Consider the following 20,170-nt stretch of genomic DNA (forward strand, 5'->3'; position numbering starts at 1 on the left):
TTCAGTTTAGAAAGTTTCTATTTACATGTCATCATACTCCCTAATTATTCTCTCAGCTTTGTGCAGTGTTTTAGTTCACTTTATGCAGCTACAACAGAATACCATGAACTGGGTAATTTATAAAGAAAAATTTTATGTCACATAGCCCTGGAGGCTGGGAATTCTAAAAGCATGATGTGGACATCTGGGGAGAGTCTTTTTGCTACATTACAGCATGGTGGAGGGCAAATATACACAGAGAGAGAGAAAGGAGTGAACTTTATTTTAGAACAATTTGCTGTTAGTGTAACTAAACAATTCCCACAATAATGACATTAATCTGTTCACAAGAGCAGAGCCCTCATGACTTAAACACTTTGTAAAGGCCATGCCTTTTTTTTTGGTAAAAGATCATACTCTAAATTTTATTTATTTTAAGATCTGGGATACATGTGGAGGATGTGTAGGTTTGTTACACAGGTAAACATGTGCCATGGTGGTTTGCTGCACCTGTCAGCCCATCACCCAGGTATTAGGCACCACATGAATTGCTATTTATCCTGATCCCTTTTCCCACACCTCCCAACAGCTTCCGGGGTTCATTGTTCCTCCTCCTTCTGTCCATGTCTTCTCATTGTTTAGCTCCCACTTATAAGTGAAAATGTGTAGTGTTAGGTTTTCTGTTTCTGTGTTAATTTGCTGAGGATAGTGAGTTCCAGCTCTATCCATATCCCCGCAAAGGACATTATGCCATTTCTTTTAATGGCTTCATAGTATTCTGTGGTGTATATGAACCACGTTTTATCTATTGCATCTATCATTGGTGGGCATCTGAGTTGATTCCATGTCTTGCTATTGTTAATAGTGCTGCAGTGAACATACGTGTGCATGTATCTTTATAATAGAATTATTTATGTTCTTTTGGGTATATAACCAGTAATGGGATATCTGGGTCAAGTGGTATTTCTGCCTCAAGGTCTTTGAGGAATCACCACATTGTCTTCCACGATGGTTGAACTAATTTACACTCCAACCAACAGTGTAAAACTGTTCCTATTTCTTCACAGCCTTGCCAGCTTCTGTTGTTTCTAGACTTTCTAGTAATTGCCATTCTGACTGGTGTGAGATGATATCTCATTGTGGTTTTGATTTGCATTCCTCTAATGATAAGTGATGTTGAGCTTTTTAAATATATTTCTTGGCTGCATAAATGTCTTTTTGAGAAGTGCCTGTTCATGCACTTGGCCCACTTTTTTTTTTTTTTTTTTTTTTTTTTGAGACAGAGTCTCACTCTGTTGCCCAGGCTGGAGTGCAGTGGCACAATCTTGGCTCACTGCAACCTCCGCCTCCTGGATTTAAGTGATTCTCCTGCCTCAACCTCCCGAGTAGCTGGGACATGGTAGCAGGTTCATGCCACTATGCCCAGCTAGTTTTTGTACTTTTTAGTAGAGACAGAGTTTCACCATATTGGTCAGGTTGGTCTTGAACTCTTGACCTTGTGATTACCCACCTCACCCTCCGAAAGTGCTGGGATTACAGGTGTGAGCCCGGCCTTGCCCACTTTTTAATGGGATTTTTTTTTTTTGGCTCGTAAATTTGTTTAAGTTCTTTGTAGATTCTAGATATTAGACCATTGACAGAAGGATAGATTGAAAAAATTTTCTCCCATTCTGTAGGTTGTCTATTCACTCTAATGATAGTTTCGTTTGCTGTGCAGAAGCTCTTTAGTTTAATTAGATCCCATTTGTCAATTTTTGCTTTTGTTGTAATTGCTTTTGGTGTTTTTATCATGAATCTTTTCCCATGCCTATGTCCTGAATGGTAGTGCCTAGATTTTCTTCTAGGGTTTTTATAGTTTTGGTTTTACATTTAAGTCTTTAATTCAACTTGAGCTAATTTTTGTAGAAGGTGTAAGGAAGGGGTGCAGTTTCAATTTTCTGCATATGATTAGCCAGTTTTCCCACCACCATTTATTAAATAGGGAATCCTTTCTCCATTGCTTGTTTTTGTCAGGTTGGTTGAAGATCAGATTATTGTAGATGTGCAGTCTTATTTCTGATACCTCTATTCTTCCATTGGTGTATGTGTCTGTTTTTGTACCAGAACCATGCTGTTTTGGTATTTTGTAGGTCTCTAAGAACTTGTTTCATGAAGCTGCATGCTTCTGTTTGGGGTGAATATCTATTTAGGGTAGTTAGTTCTTCTTATTGAATTGATCTCTTTACCATTATGTAATGTCCTTTTTGTCTTTTTTGATCTTTGTTTGTTTGAAGTCTGTTTTGTCAGAAACTAGTATTGCAACCCCTGTCAATTTCTGCTTTCCATTTGCTTAGTAAATTTTTCTCCATCCCTTTATTTTGAGCCTATGTATGTCTTTGCATGAGAGGTGTGTCTCTTGAATACAGCACAGAAATGTGTCTTGACTCTTTATCCAGTTTGCCATTCTGTGTCTTTTAATTGGGACATTTATTTCATTTACATTTAAGGTTAATATTGTTATGTGTGAATTTGATCATGTCATCATGATGTTAGCTCATTATTTTGCAGACTTGTTGATGTAGTTGTTTCGTAGTGTTGTTGTTCTGTGTACTTCAGTGTGTTTTTGCAGTGGCTGATAATGGTTTTTCCTTTCCACATTTAGTGTTTTCTTCAGGAGCTCTTACAAGGCAAACATAGGGCCACAAATTCCCTCAGCATTGGCTTGTCTGGAAAGGATTTTATTTCTCCTTTGCTTATGAAGTTTAGTTTGGCTGGATATGAAATTCTGGTTGGAAATTCTTTTTTTTAAAGAATGTTGATATTGGCTCACAATCTCTCCTGACTTGTAGGGTTTCCTGCGAGAGGTCTGCTGTTAGTCTGATGGGCTTCTTTTTGTAGGTGACCCTATCTTTCTTTCTGGCTGCCCTTACAATTTTTTCCTTCTTTTTGACTTTGGAGAATCTGAAGATTATGTGTGTTGGTGTTAATCTTCTCATGGAGTATCTTACTGAGGTTCTCTGAATTTCCTGAATTTGAATGTTGGCTTGTCTTGCTAGGTTGGGGAAGTTCTCCTGGATAATATCTTAAAGTAAGTTTTTTAACTTGGTTCTGTTCTCCCTGTCTCTGTCAGGTATCCCAATCAGTCATAGGTTTAATCTTTTTTACATAATCCCATAGTTCTCGGAGGTTTTGTTTATTTCTTTTCATTCTTTTTTCTTTAATCTTGTCTGCCTGTCTTACTTTAGCAAGATAGTGTTTAAGCTCTGAAATTCTTTCCTCTGTTTGGTCTATTTGGTTATTGATATTTGTGGTTGCATTGTGAAGTTCTCGTTTTGTGTTTCTCAGCTCCTTCCAGTCATTTATGTTCCACTCTAAACTGATTATGATTAATAGCTTCTGTAATGTTTTATCATGGTTCTTAGCTTCTTTGCATTGAGTTAGAACATACTCCTTTAGTTCAGCAAAGTCTGTTATTACTTACCTTCTGAAGCCTACTTCCATCTAGCCATCCATCTCAGCCTCTGCCCTGTTCTGTGCCCTTGCAGGAAAGGTGTTTGATCCTTTGGAGGAGAAAAGGCACTCTGGCTTTTTGAATTTTGGCATTTTTTTCATGGATTCTTATCTTTGTGAGTTTATTTAGCTTCAATCTTTGAGGCTGCTGACCTTTGGATGGGGTTTTCGTGGGAATTTTTTTATTGATGCTGTGTTGTTGTTGCTTTTTGTATGTTTGTTTTTCTTTTAACAGTCAGGCCCTTCTTCAGTAGGGCTGCTGCAGTTTGCTGGGGTGAACTCCAGACCTGAATTTCCTGGGTCTCTCCTGCACCCGGAGATGTCACCAGTGGAGGCTGCAGAAGAGAAAAGATGACTGCCTCTTCTTCTGGGATCTCTGTCCCACAGGGACTCTGACCTGGTGCTGGTGGAAATGCTTCTATACAAGGTGTCTGGTGACCCCTGTTGAGGTGTCTCACCCAGTCAGGAGGCATGGGATCTGGGACCCACTTAATAAAGTGCTTTGCCTCCCCCTTGGTGGAGGGAGTGTGCTGCACTGGGGGGAATCCCACTCGTCTGGACTGCCCAGATTCCTCAGAGTCAGCAGGACAAAAGACTAAGTCTGCTTGTTTGCAGAGACCACAGCCACTCCTCCCCGCAAGGGCTCAGTCCCAGGGAGATCAGAATTCCTCCCTAATCCATGGCTAGAGTTGCTAAAATTCCTGCAGGGAGGCCTCACCCAGTGAGGAGGAATGGGTCAGCGTCCTGTCTGAAGAGGCAATCTGGCAGGCTGGGCGTGGTGGCTCACGTCTGTAATCCCAACACTTTGGGAGGCCGAGGCGGGTGGATCACGAGGTCAGGATCAAGACCATCCTGGCTAACACGGTGAAACCCCGTCTCTACTAAAAATAAAAAATATTAGCTGGGCATGGAGGTGGGCGCCTGTAGTCCCAGCTACTCGGGAGGTTGAGGCAGGAGAATGGTGTGAACCTGGGAGGCAGAGCTCGCAGTGAGCCGAGATCGCACCACTGCACTCCAGCCTGGGCGCAAGACTCCGTCCCCACCGCCCCCCAAAAAAGGCAGTCTGGCCATGATCTGCCACAGCCACTGTGATGCACTGTTGGGAATTCCTCCTGGGTGCTAACCAACTAGTCTCCCTAGCACCGGCAGGGGAAAGACAGCAGATTGGAGCTGCAGTGATGGCTGCTGCCCCTCCTCCTAGGAACGTGGTAGTCTTAGGCGATCTCCAGATGAGCGGTCCCTGAGAATCTGCACAGCTCTGTGCTTGGGACCCAAGGCCTTGGTGGCATGAGCTCATGAGGGGGATCTCTTGATCCACAGGTTGCACAGATCTGTGGAAAAAATGTGGTTTCCTGGGCATGGTAGCATCATCACTCACCGCCTCTCTTTGCTGTGGGTGGGAGCTCCCCTTGCTCTGTGGGGCTCCCAGGTGGGCCATCATATCACCTTACTTTTCTTTGCTCTCCACAGGTCACGCCAAATGCCTAGTCAACCCTAATGAGAGAACCTAGATACCTCACCTGCCGATGCAGCATTCACTTGCCATTTTCTTTCTTCTTGGTGGGCGTTTCCGACCATAGCTGTTTCTAGTTGGCCATCTTGGCACCCCACCTCTTAATACTGTCACAATTACAATAGAATTTGAACATGAGTCTTGATACGAATATTCAAACCATAACATCCAGTCTACTGAAGAGGCCATTAAAGGTATTCTTTACTTATTTTATATTTTTGATTATTAGCATTTTTTATTGATTATTTTTTAGAGTTGTAATTGCTGTGCTTACATTGCCCGTATGATTTTACATGTATACTTTTTCCATTAGAGTCCTTAATACATTAATCATTGTTATTTTAAAAATTTAATGTCTGCTAATTTCAAAATCTGTGTCATGACTGAATCAGATGCTGGTGATTACTTTGTCTCATCATACTATCTTTTCCTGTCTTTTATCATACCTTGTGATTTTTTTGTAGAAAGCTAGACATGATGTATTTGGTAATAGGAACCTAGGTAAGTCAGGCTTTAGTGAAAGGTTTTATGTGTTTCTGGCTATAATTAGGCTTTTGTTTAATATTTTCTGTAGTTGTACGTGTCCGAGTCTTCAAATTCCTCTAGGGTCCTTGATTTTGTTTCCTCTGTTGTCTTTGGATTTCCCTAAGAATTCCGTTTTAAACAGTCTGTGCTGTGCAGCAAATCCCAGTTTCAATCCACATTTATTTTACTAGAGACCTGTTGCTTAAGTCTCAAGGTATGGAAAAGGGGGCACTTTCTATAATCTTATATCAAATTTTAGTCTTTTAATGAGCCTGCATCCCTGGGCTGTGACTTTGATAAGTCTTTCTTAGTTCCTCCAAATTCGTTCAGTGAATCAGGAAAACTAGAGGGCAGCCTTCTTTTCCTCAGGCCAGATAAGGCCCTGCTAATGTCTTTCCCTATGCAAAGCAGACTGTTTTTATGGACAATTCTCTGAATATATTTCAAAGTAGTTACTTCTCTGCTCCTGTGCCAGAAACATGGAGCAGTTTTTTTCAGGTCTTCACCCTAATAACCTGGTCAGGTCCTAGAAGTAAAACCCACAAATGTGATGATGTCTCCTAAAACTGGGCTAAAAGGAGTTTCTCACTTTTAAGGTAAAGCACGCTGGTTTTCCAGTAATTCCTCAAAATTGTAATGTAAGTGTTCCTATCAGTTTAAAGCTTCAGTAGCTCCTGCCCCATGTAAGGTGATCTCGGCTGTGATTTTCTTTGTTTGTGTATCTTTCAGATTTGTTCTGTTACATAAAATCTCAAATGAGTCTAAAAAAAGTTATTAATTTTCAGTTTTTCAGCTTTTTTTCCTTGTCAAGATAACATTGAGGCCTTACAACTCTTTAAATGTTGGAGCTGTAACAAAAAAAAAGTTATCATTTCTTATATGTTTACTTCGTGATAATTTATGGAGCTGTATATTTAGTAGTTGGGAGCTTTTGAGTATACATTATTTTAATAAAAGGTTTAATATCACTAAAATATAATATATATTCACTAGTAAATTTATAATTTATAAAACTGGGCCAGGCACGGTGGCTCATGCCTGTAATCCCAGCACTTTGGGAGGCCGAGGCGGGTGGACCAAGAGGTCAGGAGTTCAAGACCAGTCTGGCCAATATGGAGAAACCCTGTTTCTACTAAAAATACAAAAATTAGCTGGGTGTGGTGGCATGTGCCTGTAGTCCCAGCTACTCGGGAGGCTGAGGCAGAAGAAACACTTGAACCCGTGAGGCGGAGGTTGCAGTGAGCTGAGATTGCACCACTGCACTTCAACCTGGGTGACAGAGCAACACTCTGTCTCCAAAACAAACAAACAAACAAACAAACAAAACCTGACAGTACCAAGCATTGCCAAGGATAAAAAAAATTGAAATTTTGAAACACTGTTGGTGGAAATTTAAATTCATAAAAAATTCATCATCTATCGCAATAAATATCCACATACTATTAATAAATTATATAACTCTCCTATGTATTCATACATAAAAAATAGTGTACCTGTACATCAGAAGACTTCAAAGAAGGTTCAAAACAACATAGCTCCTAATATCTAGGATATAAAAGGAGCCTAAATGCGTATAAACTGTAAAATTAATAAACAAATCCTGACATAGCTATAGAATGTGATGTTGTATAATAATGAAAATGGAAAAAAAAACTATAGATACAGGTTAATCTTACAAATGTAACAATTAACAAAGTAAAACAGTCGTGAAATAATACATTCTGTAATATTCCATGTATGTAAAGTTTTTAAAAATATAAAAAAAAACCTGAAGGATAGAAATGCAAATGATAGTTAAGGTAGGGGATGAGGAGGAGCACAATGATAGAAAGTAGGCACAGGGTGTCGGCTGAGATCCTGTCGGGGTTGTATTCCTTGATCTAATTGGTGGATAAACTGTATGTCAATATTGTGACAATACATAAAACTGTCTATTTCAGTATTGTGTGCTTTTCTGCATATGTTTTAACCTTCAAAAAATAAGATGAGAAGCTCATTTAAAAATCACTTCTAAAAATGCAAAAGGAAAAATTTCATAGCAGACGACAGTGCATTTTAATCCTTTTCATAAGTCCAGTGATTAATGGGTCTATAAGATACATTATGGAGACCTCACATATAGCTGAGGGGAAATTAATGGATAAAGAATTTCTAAATGCATGGGGGGCAAAAAGCACAGAGACAGCGGAATACAAGTTAGCATAACTGATTTGGCTATGTACACACTGGTAATTTTTAGAGAAATTTAGGTTTTAAATGTAAGATAAATGCAGTCATTAAGTCATTTTAAGGAGAGATTGCATTTTTGTCTGCTTGTTTGTTTTGCAATGAACTTGAACGAACATTGTAAGTAACTTGCTTCATAAACTGAGTAAAAGTGACAAACTACTTAATTTAAGAATTTAATTATTGGTTGGGCGCAGTCACTGACCATTTGGAAGACCAAGGCGGGAAGATTACTTGAGGTCAGGAGTTCGAGGCCAGCCTGGCCAACATGGTGAAACCCTGTCTCTACCAAAAATACAACACTTAGCCAGGTGTGTTGGCACATGCCTGTAGTCACAACTACTCGGGAGGCTGAGGCAGGAGAATCGCTTGAACCCAGAAGGCGGAGGTTGCAGTGAGCAGAGATGGTGCCACTGCACAACAGCCTTTTTAGACTCTGTCTCAAAAAAAGAAAAAAGAAAAAAGTTACTTATCATGATAGTTCAAGATGATGCTTTGTCTTGGATACTTTTACACATGTAAAGTCAAATGAGAGAATTTAAGTTATTTGGGGAATTATTTTAAAAGCCATATTGTTCCCCTTATCAAATACTCCTAAAACCTACTAAAACCTAAGTGCCACTTTCTTAGATTTTCCAGAACACTCTAAGCATTTATAACAGTAGTTAGTACAACGTTCTGTAAATATTGGTTTAGGGGTTAGTCTCTTCAGTTTAGTAACATTTCATTAACCACCATGAATGGCATAGTGTATATTTTTCATTTGTATTCCACAAAAATTTGTAAAATAAACATCCAATAAAAAATATTCTATTTGACTTCATTTTCATCCAGGGTCTTGTTGATTCTCTCACTATTCAGTTTTACTGATAAGAAATTTAAGTTTAAGGTCTCTCCCATTTGTTCCATTAATTAGACTTTTTTAGGAAAATATGTTCAAATTGACAAGTGCAATAATGGAATAGAAAAGGTATGTAATCAGCATTTTTCTATTAACTCGATCATCTTTTATCATAAAAGAAGTTATTTTCTCACAATCATTAAATTATATTAATTCAAAAAATACGAGAGGCTGCACTGTCCATTTGAAACATTTCATCTTAGCATATAGTCTAGGGACTAAGGCAATACAGAGATCACTTGTATACTTAAGTGGTGTGGTGGTAAATGGTTAACAATCAGTTCTCCAGTGGGAGATTCATAGCATCTGCTGCTTTATAAACTACCCCCAAAGTTGCTGATTTAAAGCTATTCATGTGATTTTTTTTTTTTTTTTTTTGACAGAGTCTTGCTCTGTTGCCCAGGCTGGAGTACAGTGGCATAATCTCAGCTCACTGCAACCTCTGTCTTCCAGGTTCAAGCAATTCTCCTGCCTCAGCCTCCCGAGTATCTGGGACTACAGGTGTGTGCCACCACACCCAGCTAATTTTTCTATTTTTAGTAGAGACAGGGTTACACCATGTTGGCCAGGCTGGTCTCAAACTCCCGATCTTAAGTGATCTACCTACCTAGGCCTCCCAAAGTGCTGGGATTCAGGCATGCACCACCACGCCCAGCCTATTCATGTGATTTCATAGAATACAGAGTTGAGATGATAGAGGGAAAATTGCTCTTCAGAGGACACCACTCCAGCCTACCACTATCTATCTATATATATTTTTTAAAGTCACAGGTAGGGTGATAGATAAAATAAATCTCTGTTACATTTTTCCACTTTAGATTTCACATTAAATGACAGTAAAAAATTTCACATTATATTTTTAAAATCATGTTTCTGTGAAACTAATAGTTAAAGTTCATTTCAGAAGGATTGTCATACTAAATCACTTACATTCTTTTAACAATTTCAAGTTTGTTTGACAAAGGGGCAAATGGTCTGAAGTGAGAAAAGAGTCTACATATTACATAAGGGCGTATGTAAAAAAAAATGGAAAATAGCCTCAGAAAAGCAAAATGCTTCCGTAGTCTTTGCCTTCAACTACTCTTTTCATAGCTGTAGCTTTGTTTCAAATATCTTACATGAGTAGTTTAGGATATAAATAAATTTAAATGACAAAATACCATTTTAGTATGGATTGTGCCTGGGTTTACATTTTTATTACTGTTCTTCATTGTCCAGTGTAGTACATAAACATATATTTTAATATGCATTTGACAAAATAACTTTAATGTAGAGATATTTTGAAATGATTTAAAGACTTTGTTTTTAACTAAGAATGCTATATGTAGGCATACAAAGTGTTTTCATTAAGAAATAGAACATTCCCACATCTTTTATTATACAGAGTTTGCAAATTTTCAGTTGCTCTGCGTTCTCCAATGGGATAAACTCACTTTTTGGTGGCTTCTTGTGTACAATGCATTTCTACGGGAAAGAGATGTATTTTGAGGGAGATACTCTAGGATTAACTGCAAAGTAGTAAATTTCCTTCATAAAAATTTGAAAACTCCCATAGCACTTCTTGAGTAATATGACCTTAAAGCTAAATGCAAAATATTTCACAGTTTTGAATAAAACGAAGAAAGAGTATTTGATTGGCTCTCTTAAAGTATCAGTTATTCTAATATAATTGTATAGTCATTTCATAGTTTTGACCATTTATATACATTATTTATTAGGTTTCTTCAAATTATTTAGTTCAATCAGTTTGGAGATTTAGTTTGTGCTAGCACTGGGCTAGGTTCTAGGAATGAGTTCCCATAACAGCAATAGGTGATTTCAGGCAGAGGAAACAATGTATCCTTAAAAAAATTATGAAACAACATGATGTGCCAAAAAGAATTAGCACTGGGCACAAATTCCAATACACTAACATTTAGAAAACTCCGTCTCTGTCATATTAGTTACATGTTCTAACTAAGGAAAATTGCACACATGAGAAATGAGTAATCATCTAAAGACAACAGGCCAAACTGATAATTAAGTGAATAATTTGTGTAATAAGGTAAATTTATTTAAGGGATTTGATTACCCATATTCATTATCTGCATTTGTGAAGTGCTCTACTTTCAATTCTGCTTTAAATAATGGAGACATCATTTTAACATAATTAAGATGTTACAATTATCTGTGTTATAGATTTTGATGTTTCAGTGTTACATAATTTTAGTTTCTTATAGCAATTATTCTTAGCTTTTCTGAATATTAACATATGTTTCTCTATGATATTTTGAGTACCAATCTATATTTTTTCTCTCTTATTTTCCTTAGTTTTTCTTTCATTGTTCATTTTCATAGGAAAGATGAAAATATGAGATAGAACAAAAATCACATGTAGCTGATGAGTCTTTGTATTTACTTCCCATATCCTAAATTTCATGGGGGGTATTTATAAGATTTTAGAAAAAAAGAAAAAGAAAGAGAAAGAAAGAAAGAGAGAGAGAAAAAGAAAGAAAGAAAAAAGAAAGAAAGAAAGAAAGGGAGGAAGAGAGATAGAGAGGGAGAGTGGGAGGGAGGGAAAGAGGAAGGAAGGAAGGAAGGAAAGAAAGAAAGAAAGGAAGAAAGAAAGAAAAGAAAGAAAGTAGTAAAAGAGAAAAAGAAAGGCAGTGACGTGGTAGGCAGATAATGTTCTGCCCCAAGTTACCCTTGTCCTAATCCCCAGATTCTGTGAATGTGCCTGTCTTATATGTGCAAAGGCACTATATGGATGTGACTAAATTAAGGATCTTGAGATGAGGTAATTATCTTGGATTATGTCTTTTTTTGAAAAGTGTCTGTTCATGTTTTTTGCTCGCTTTTCCAAAGGGGCTGTTTGTTTTTTTCTTGTAATTTTGTTTAAGTTCCTTATAGATGCTTGATATTAGACCTTTCTCAGAAACAGTTTGCAAATATTTTCTTCTATTTTGTAGGTTGTCTGTTTACTGTGTTTAGTTTCTTTTGCTGTGCAGAAGCTCTTTAATTTAATTAGATCCCATTTGTCAATTTTTGCTTTTGTTGTGATTGCTTTCAGTGCCTTTGCCGTGAAATTTTTGCCCATTCCTCTGTCCCAGTTGTTATTGCCTAGGTTGTCTCCAGGGTTTTTATAGTTTTGGGGTTTACATTTAAATCTTTAATCCATCTTGAGTTCATTTTTGTATAAAGTGTAAGGAAGGGGTCCAGCTTCAATATTCTGGTTATGACTAACCAGTTATCCCAGCACTATTAATCAAATAGGGAGTCTTTTCCCCATTGCTTGTTTTTGTTAGCTTCATTGGAGATCAGATGGTAAAAGGTGTGTGGCCTTATTTCTGGGCTCTCTGTTCTGTTCCATTGGTCTATGTGCCTGTTTTTGTACTAGTACCATGCTTTTTGGTTACTGTAGCCCTATAGTATAGTTTGAAGGTCAGTAATGTGATGCCTCCAGCTTTGTTCTTTTTGCTTAGGATTGCCTTGGCTATTCAGTCTTTTTTGTTTCTATTTGAATTTTCAAATAGATTTTTTTCTAGGTCTGTGAAGAATGTCATTTTTAGTTTAACAGGAATAGCACTGAATCTGTAAATTGCTTTGGTCAGTATGGTCATTTTAATGATATTAATTCTTCCTATCCATGAGCATGTGATTTTTTTTTTCATTTATTTGAGTCATCTCTGATTTCATTGAGAAGTGTTTTGTAATTCTCATTGTAGAGATCTTTCACCTCGCTGGTTCTCTGTATTACTAGGTATTTTGTTGTTTTTGTAGCAATTATGAATTGGATTGCCTTTCTGATTTGGCTCTTGGTTTGGCTGTTTTCTGTATAGGAATGAGACTGATTTTTGTACATTGATTTTGTATCCAGAAACCTCACTGAAGTTGTTTATCAGTTGAAGGAGTTTTTTTGCTGAGACTATGGGGTTTCCTAAATATAGAATCATGTTGTCTGTAAATAGGGATAGTTTGACTTCCTCTTTTCTTATTTGAATGTCTTTTATTTCTATCTCTTGCCTAATTGCTTTGGCTAGGATTTCCTATAACATGTTGAATAGGAATGGTGAGATTTGGTATCCTTGTCTTGTGCTGGTTTTCAAGGGGAATGCTTCCAGCTTTTGCCCATTCAGCATGATATTAACTGTCGGTTTGTCCTAGATGGCTCTTATTATTTTGAGCTAAGTTTATTCAATACCTAGTTAATTAAGAATTTTTAACATGAATGGGTGTTAAATTCTATCAAAAGCCTTTTCTGCATCTATTGAGATAATTATGTGGTGTTTGCCTTTAATTCTGTGTATGTGATAAATCACATTTATTGATTTGCATATGATGAACCAGCCTTGCATCTCAGAGATGAAGCCTATACTTGATTGTGGTGAATTAGTTTTTTGACATGCTGCTAGTTTTAGTTTGCAAGTATTTTATTAAGGATTTTTGCATTGATGTTATTCAAGGATGTTTGCTTGAAGTTTTCTTTTTTATTGTGTCTCTGCAAGGTTTTGGTATAAGAATGGTGCTGGCCTCATAGAATAACTACAAACTTTTAACATGTTTCCAACCTAAGTCACAATAACATGGAATTTGAGCTATTTTGAAACTCATAAAAAACAAAGTACATGAGAGTATTTATGTATTAAGAATATTTTAAACAATATTTGAAAATATTCTTTGATGATGAAGCTGAGGTAAATAAGTGGAAAATAAAGCAAGCATATATATATGTGTATGCATATATATATGTGTATATATATATACACACACAATATATGTATATATATACACACACATATGCCTAGTTGAATTCATTTTTTTCTTAATTATTTCCAACTTTGGCCTCTGAAGTTTTTTTTAACAAAAGATAGAACAAGATTGTTGGCATCCAATTTGCTTTACCCCGATAATTGACAATTATATTAGAACCATTAAGAATATTTCCTATGAGCTTAACATGACTTTTCACCTGGATTCAGAGAGTTAAAACATTTCAAATAATTTCTTTAGTTGCATAATTTTAGCCTTAGTCTTTCATTAATTTTAATAAGTGCTTAAATTGATTCAGCATTTGCTGAGTATTTTAATATTGAAAGAAGAAGCAATCCTGCTAATTTCAAAAGAATAACAAGACTCTCAGATTATTTTTTTTTGGAAGGGAGGATCCAATTTGCTTTTCCCTTGATGGATAGGCATATACAGATGTGCTTCAACTTACAATGATATTACATCCTGATAAAACCATTGTAAATTGAAAATATTATAATTCAAAAATACATTTAATATATCTAATCTACTGAACATCATAGCTTAGCCTGCCGTACCTTAAACATGCTCAGAACACTTACATAAGCCTGCAGTTGGGAAAAATCATCTAACATAGAGGCTATTTTATAATAAAGTGTTGGATATCTCATGTAATTTATTGAATCTTGCATGAAAGTGAAAAACAGAATGGTTGTATGGTTTCTACTAAATGCATATCACTTTTGCACTATCATAAAATAAAAAATGATAAGTTGAACCATTGTAAGTCTTGGGCCATCTGTAGCAGTTTCAATTATCCAAACTAGAGAGGAAAGGAAAAAATAATCTCAAATCATTATCTAGTGCATATTTATATGGTTTGTCTGCTAGCTATTCACATTACTGGTTGGTTATTAAGAGGTGCAGATCTCATTTTTATACTATTATAGGATATAATGGAAATATTTGCACTGTAAGAACAAATGTAATTTATGACAACAAAATTATGATTATATGTTTATAGAGTATTAGAAATCAACTAATCTAAATTTTCTTTTTAATAGGAAATAACATTAGGAATAAAGTTTTTTACTTCCCTAAGGTTTTTAACCATCTAGACACATTCAAAAATTCAAAATTTTATTTCCATTTTTGTATTTTTTTAACTTGCTGCAGCCAATTAATTGATTTTATGTACAGTATTCTATGGATGTTATTTGTATATCATCTTTCCTTTGAGTACTATAATGTATGTGATAACCCTGAAATATGCATTTTATTAAGGCTTGATTAATGTATTTTCCCAATTCTTTATACTAGAATGCAAAATTAAATAAATTTGTTGAGCTATACATTACAAGCAGCACACTAGCTCTACCCTAATCCATCCTCCTAGGCTGATACCAGAGAAGGAAAATAGATGCAGAAAGAAAAGAATGAGTGGGAAAGATGAAGAAAGAGACAATAAAAATACTGTGCTCTGCTTCCACACTATGGCTACATAAATTATGAGATTAAGTGTAAACTGAGAAGATGGGAAATAATTTAATTAAATTTGATGTTAAAGTTTTAGATTAATAGACACAGAGAATAAGACATGCAGATGAAAAAGTAAGAAAAAAGTCTGGGACTGCATTAAATATGTTGACAAGGATGGATTCCAATATTTTTGTTATTACCCTCAAGGGAACTAAAAGAGAGAATGTGATCTGCAAGGTGAGATACCTCTTCATCACCACGGGTGAAAAAGCACACTTAGTTTTAATGGTCATATAGAGTTAAGAAGTTGAGGTCTTGTACTCAAATGAGATGTTGGAGATGAAAAAACTATATGTATTCGTTCATTTTCATGCTGCTGATAAAGGCATACTTGAGACTTGGAAGAAAGAGAAGTTTAATGGACTTCTAGTTACACAAGGCTGGTGAGGCCTCACAGTCATGGTGAAAGGCAAGAAGGAGCAAGTCACATCTTACATGGATGGCAGCAGGCAAAGAGCGAGAGCTTGTGCAGGGAAATTCTCATTTTTAAAACCATCAGATCTCATGAGACTTTTTCACTATCACAAGAACAGCACAGGAAAATCCCTCCCCTATGATTCAATTATTTCATACCAGTTACCTCCCACAACATGTGAGAATTATGGGAGCTACAATTCAAGATGAGGTATGGGGAGGGACACACAGCCAAACCACATTATTCCACCCCTGGCCCCTCCCAAATATCATGTTTTCACATTTCAAAACCAATCATGCTTTCCCAACAGTCCCCCAAGTCTTAACTCATTTCGGCATTAACTCAAAAGTCTACAGTCTAATGTTTCATCTGAGACAAGGCAAGTCCCTTCCACCTATGAGCCTGGAAAATCAAAAGCAAGTTAGTTACTTCCTAGATACAATGGGGGTACAGGCATTGGGAAAATACAGTCATCCCAAATGGGAGAAATTGGCCAAAATAAGGGAGCTACAGGCCCCATGCACGTCCAAAATCCAGCAGGGAAGTCAATCTTAAAGCTCCAAAATGATCTTTGACTCCAGGTCTTACATCCAGGTCATGCTGATGCAAGAGGTGAGCTCCCATGGTCTTGGACAGCTCCACCCCTGTGTCTTTACAGGGTACAGTCTCCCTCCTTACTGCTTTCATGGGCTGGGGTTGAGTGTCTGTGGCTTTTCCAGGTGAACAGTGCAACCTCTTGGTGGATCTATCATTTTGGGGTCTGGAGAATGGTGGCCCTCTTCTCATAGCTTCACTACATGACGTCCCAGTAGGGACTCTGTGGGCACAACCCCACATTTCCCTTCCTCACTGCCTTAGCAGAGGTTCTCCATGAGGGCCCCACCCCTGCAGCAAATGTTTACCTGGGCATCCAGGTGTTTCCATACATCCTCTGAAATCTAGGTGGAGGTTCTCAGACACCAATTCTTGACTTTTGTGTACATGCAAGCTCAACACCACATGGAAGCTGCCAAGGATTGAGGCTTTACCCACTGAAGTAATGGCCTAAACTCTCTGTTGGTCCCTTTCAGCCATGGCTGGAGAGGCTGGAATTCAGGGCACAAAGTTCCTAGGCTGCACACAGTGTGGGGACCCTGGGCCCAGACCATGAAACCATTTTTTCCTCCTAGGCCCCTGGGTCTGTTATGGGAGAGGCTGCTGCAAAGGTCTCTTACATGCCTGGGAGACATTTTCCCCATTGTCTTAGTGATTAACATTCAGCTTCCCATTACTTATGTAAATTTCTCAGCTGGCTTGAATTTCTCCTCAGAAAATGGGATTTTATTATCTATTGAATTGTCAGGCTGTGAATTTTTTGAAATTTTATGCTCTGTTTTCCTTTTAAAACTGAAAGCCTTTAATAGCACACAAGTCACCTCTTGAATGCTTTGCTACTTAGAAATTTCTTCTACCAGATACCCTAAATCATCTCTCTCAACTTCAGAGTTCCACAAATCTGTAAGACAGGGACAAATGCCTCCAATCCCTTTGCTAAAACATAACAAGAGTCACCTTTGCTCCAGTTCCCAACAAGTTTTTCATTTCCATCTGAGACCATCTTAGCCAAGACTTTATTGTCCGTATCATTATCAACATTTTTGGCAAAGCCATTCAACAAGACTCTATGAAGTTCCAAACTTTCCCACATTTTCCTGTCTTCTTCTGAGCCCTCCAAGCAGTTCCAACCTCTGCCTGTTACCTAGTTCCAAAGTTGCATCTACATTTTCAGGTATCTTTTCAGCAGCACCTACTCCTGGTACCAATTTATTGTGTTAGTCCATTTTCATGCTGCTGCTAAAGGCATACCAGAGACTGGGAAGAAAAAGAGGTTTAATGGATCTACAGTTACACAAGGATGGGGAGGCCTCACAATCATGGTGGAAGGCAATGAGGAGCAAGTCACATCTTACATGGGTGGTGTCAGGCACAGAGAGAGTGCTTGTGCAGGAGAAATCCCATTTTTAAAACCATCAGATCTCATGAGACTTATTCACTATCACAAGAACAGCATAGGAAAGAGCCACCTTCGTGATTCAATTATCTCCCTCTGGGTCCCTCCTGCAACACATGGGAATAATGAGAGCCACAAGATGAGATTTGGGTTGGGACAGAGAGCCAAACCATATCACGATATAAACCCAGGTTTCTCAAAAACTTAGCTTGCCCAGTATAATAACGGGCAAGAGAAAATAAAATTAAATAGAAGCACAGGGTGATTATAAGGGGTCTATAGTAACTAGGCATCCACTCAAGAAGAAAATATTTTAAAAAAGAGAGAGAAAAAAAAGAAAGAGGAAGGGAGAAAAGGGAAGGCAGGCAGGCAGGCAGGCAGGAAGGAAGGAAAGAAAGGGAGGGAAGGAAAAAAGAAAGGAAGAGATTTTCATCCACCTGTCAATCTGTAGTCTTGCTATCACAAAGGCTTGGGATCCAAATATGCATACATGTAAAATACAGAAAAGCTAAAAGGTAGAGATTAAGCTAAAATAAAATCAAATTGATAGTGTCCAAGGTCCTTCAGAAGATGTAAATACAATTTATATCTGGAGAAACTCAGCCTGAAAATATAGCCCTCATGATTGTTAAACATTTAAATCAGTTAAATATCAACTAACAAAAAGTAGGAAAAATGTGGAATACATCATTAAAGGCATTAGAAGCTATTAACAGCAGAATTCAACTTTGACATTTTAAAATATGATATCATATTTGATAATGTGAACAGTACAGTGTAAGAACTGTAAGAAGTTATACTGGGAAAAGATAATTGAAAAGAAATCCTCTGTGGTTAAATTTTAGTCTTGAAAATAGACTTGAAAGTAAAAATAGTATTACCAGGTTTAGAAAGGGCCATTATATAATGACAAAAGTTTCAATTCACCAGGAGACAGGAGACAATAAACATTCTAAATTTACCTAATAAACTTGTCTCACTTTTTATTTTTAATCAAAAGAAGCCATGTTCACTTTCATAGTTGGAGAAATGCAAGACTTTTATGTTCTGTAGTTTCCTCCCAAGTTGCAGAATTCTAAAAAATGTATATTCTTTTCTTAGTAACAACTATTCATTTATGACAAACACACATCTGATCCAGTCCAAAGTTATTTCAGAGCTTCCAACACTGGGAATGTCCTCTGAAGAATGTGGATACTGCTTTCTTACCCATTCTGATAAAAGAAAATAAACCACCTTATTAGCTGCATTCTCCCTAATCACTCCCCTGGGGGTAATAAAAACAATATGATAATCTATCACTGTCAGAATTTTTTTCAGCCGTAAAAAGGGGAATTTCAGGAAAAAAATCAATTCTGAACCATTTCTGTGGGATTATTTCAGCTCTGCCTCCCTCTAGGTGAGTTTCAGCCCCAGGATGATTTCTCTCAAGGTTTCATGGGGCAGCAGATGCTACTGAAGTTAGATAGGTATATGTTCACATTTACATGGAAAGAGAAAACAACTCTAACAATAAAATATTTTTCCTTGAATTTTTTAGACAATCTCAGGTTGTCTATTACATCTAACCCATAATGCCATTAATTTAATGCCATGTATTAACTAGATTATGTATTTCCTGACCCAAATGCAAAACTCCTGAAAGGGTTAAGATCACCAGGACTGACTCAGAGCCCAGCATTGCAGCAAGGGTTGGCTTCAGCTTTTCTGGAGTTACCTGGAAGGTATGTGTCAAACCAACACAAGATGAAATTTCTGATTGTCTAAGTAGAATTGACAAGGTGAACTGACAACTACTTAGGGGTTAGTGTGTAGTAACAAAAAAAAATTTCCCTTTGTTGAATCTAAAAATCATAAAGACTAAATTTCTAATTTAGGAAGAAAATTATACAAAACTAATGTATCTCTCATGACTATGCTAGTACATTAACAAACCAGTGGCTGTTATTACCTTTAGCAGTTTAAATATTTTGAAATCATGTGCTAAAATATGACTTTAGCACATGTGATTATGTTCTCTTTATGGAGGGGATCTAGCAAATTAACCTTATTTAGTCAAGAAAACAAAGGGAAAGTGTTTTTGGAAAAGCTGGTTTTTCCAAAGTGCTGATTATTCATTACTGGCTTTGGAGGTTTTATAGGTTTACATTTCATCTTTCTAAAGAAACTGTAAACATTATCAGCACTGAATATATGCATTTTCATATCAACTCAAAATCTGTTTTGGTGACCTTCACAACATCCTTAATTAGCTGAGCCTTACTAAATGAAAGCAGTTACACTGCTTTACTAAATTCCTTTAATATGTTCATAGTTTAACATGATTTTCTTCAAAAGAAAATTGCAAATATGCCCTTAACTTGGCCCATTCTATCAATTTAAGTGTCTAGAAATCAAACAGAATATAAAAAGTAGGCTTTTGTATAAAATTGGGATTTAACTAAAAACATATCTAGATAGTAAAGCAATGAAGAAATGAAACATAAAGTAAATTTTATGTTTTGCTTTAATGAATCTGAAATAATATCTGCATGCCTGTGCATATCTATATAATATGCAGAGTGTTTAAACACATACATAATATGTATATAATTAATTAGTTTAATTTACATAATTTATAGATTTTTGTCTTTATAGTCAGCTTAATACTTTTCAGAAAGAGTTAACTGTGATTATTCTAATTTTTAAATAAATGTCTTTTCAGAGTTAACTCCATCCTCCCTATCAGAATGTTAGAAATGATATTTTGAACAACTAACCACAAGCCAGTGGCAGACTTACTTTGATGCAATGTAAAAAACATATTTTCGGGAGACCTAAAAAAAGTACCTAGGTCAGCATTTAAGGCATTTAAAAAACTTTGGCCCA

The sequence above is a fragment of the Homo sapiens genome, chromosome 4 (assembly GCF_000001405.40).
Source record: "Homo sapiens chromosome 4, GRCh38.p14 Primary Assembly".
Classification (NCBI taxonomy): Eukaryota; Metazoa; Chordata; class Mammalia; order Primates; family Hominidae; genus Homo; species Homo sapiens.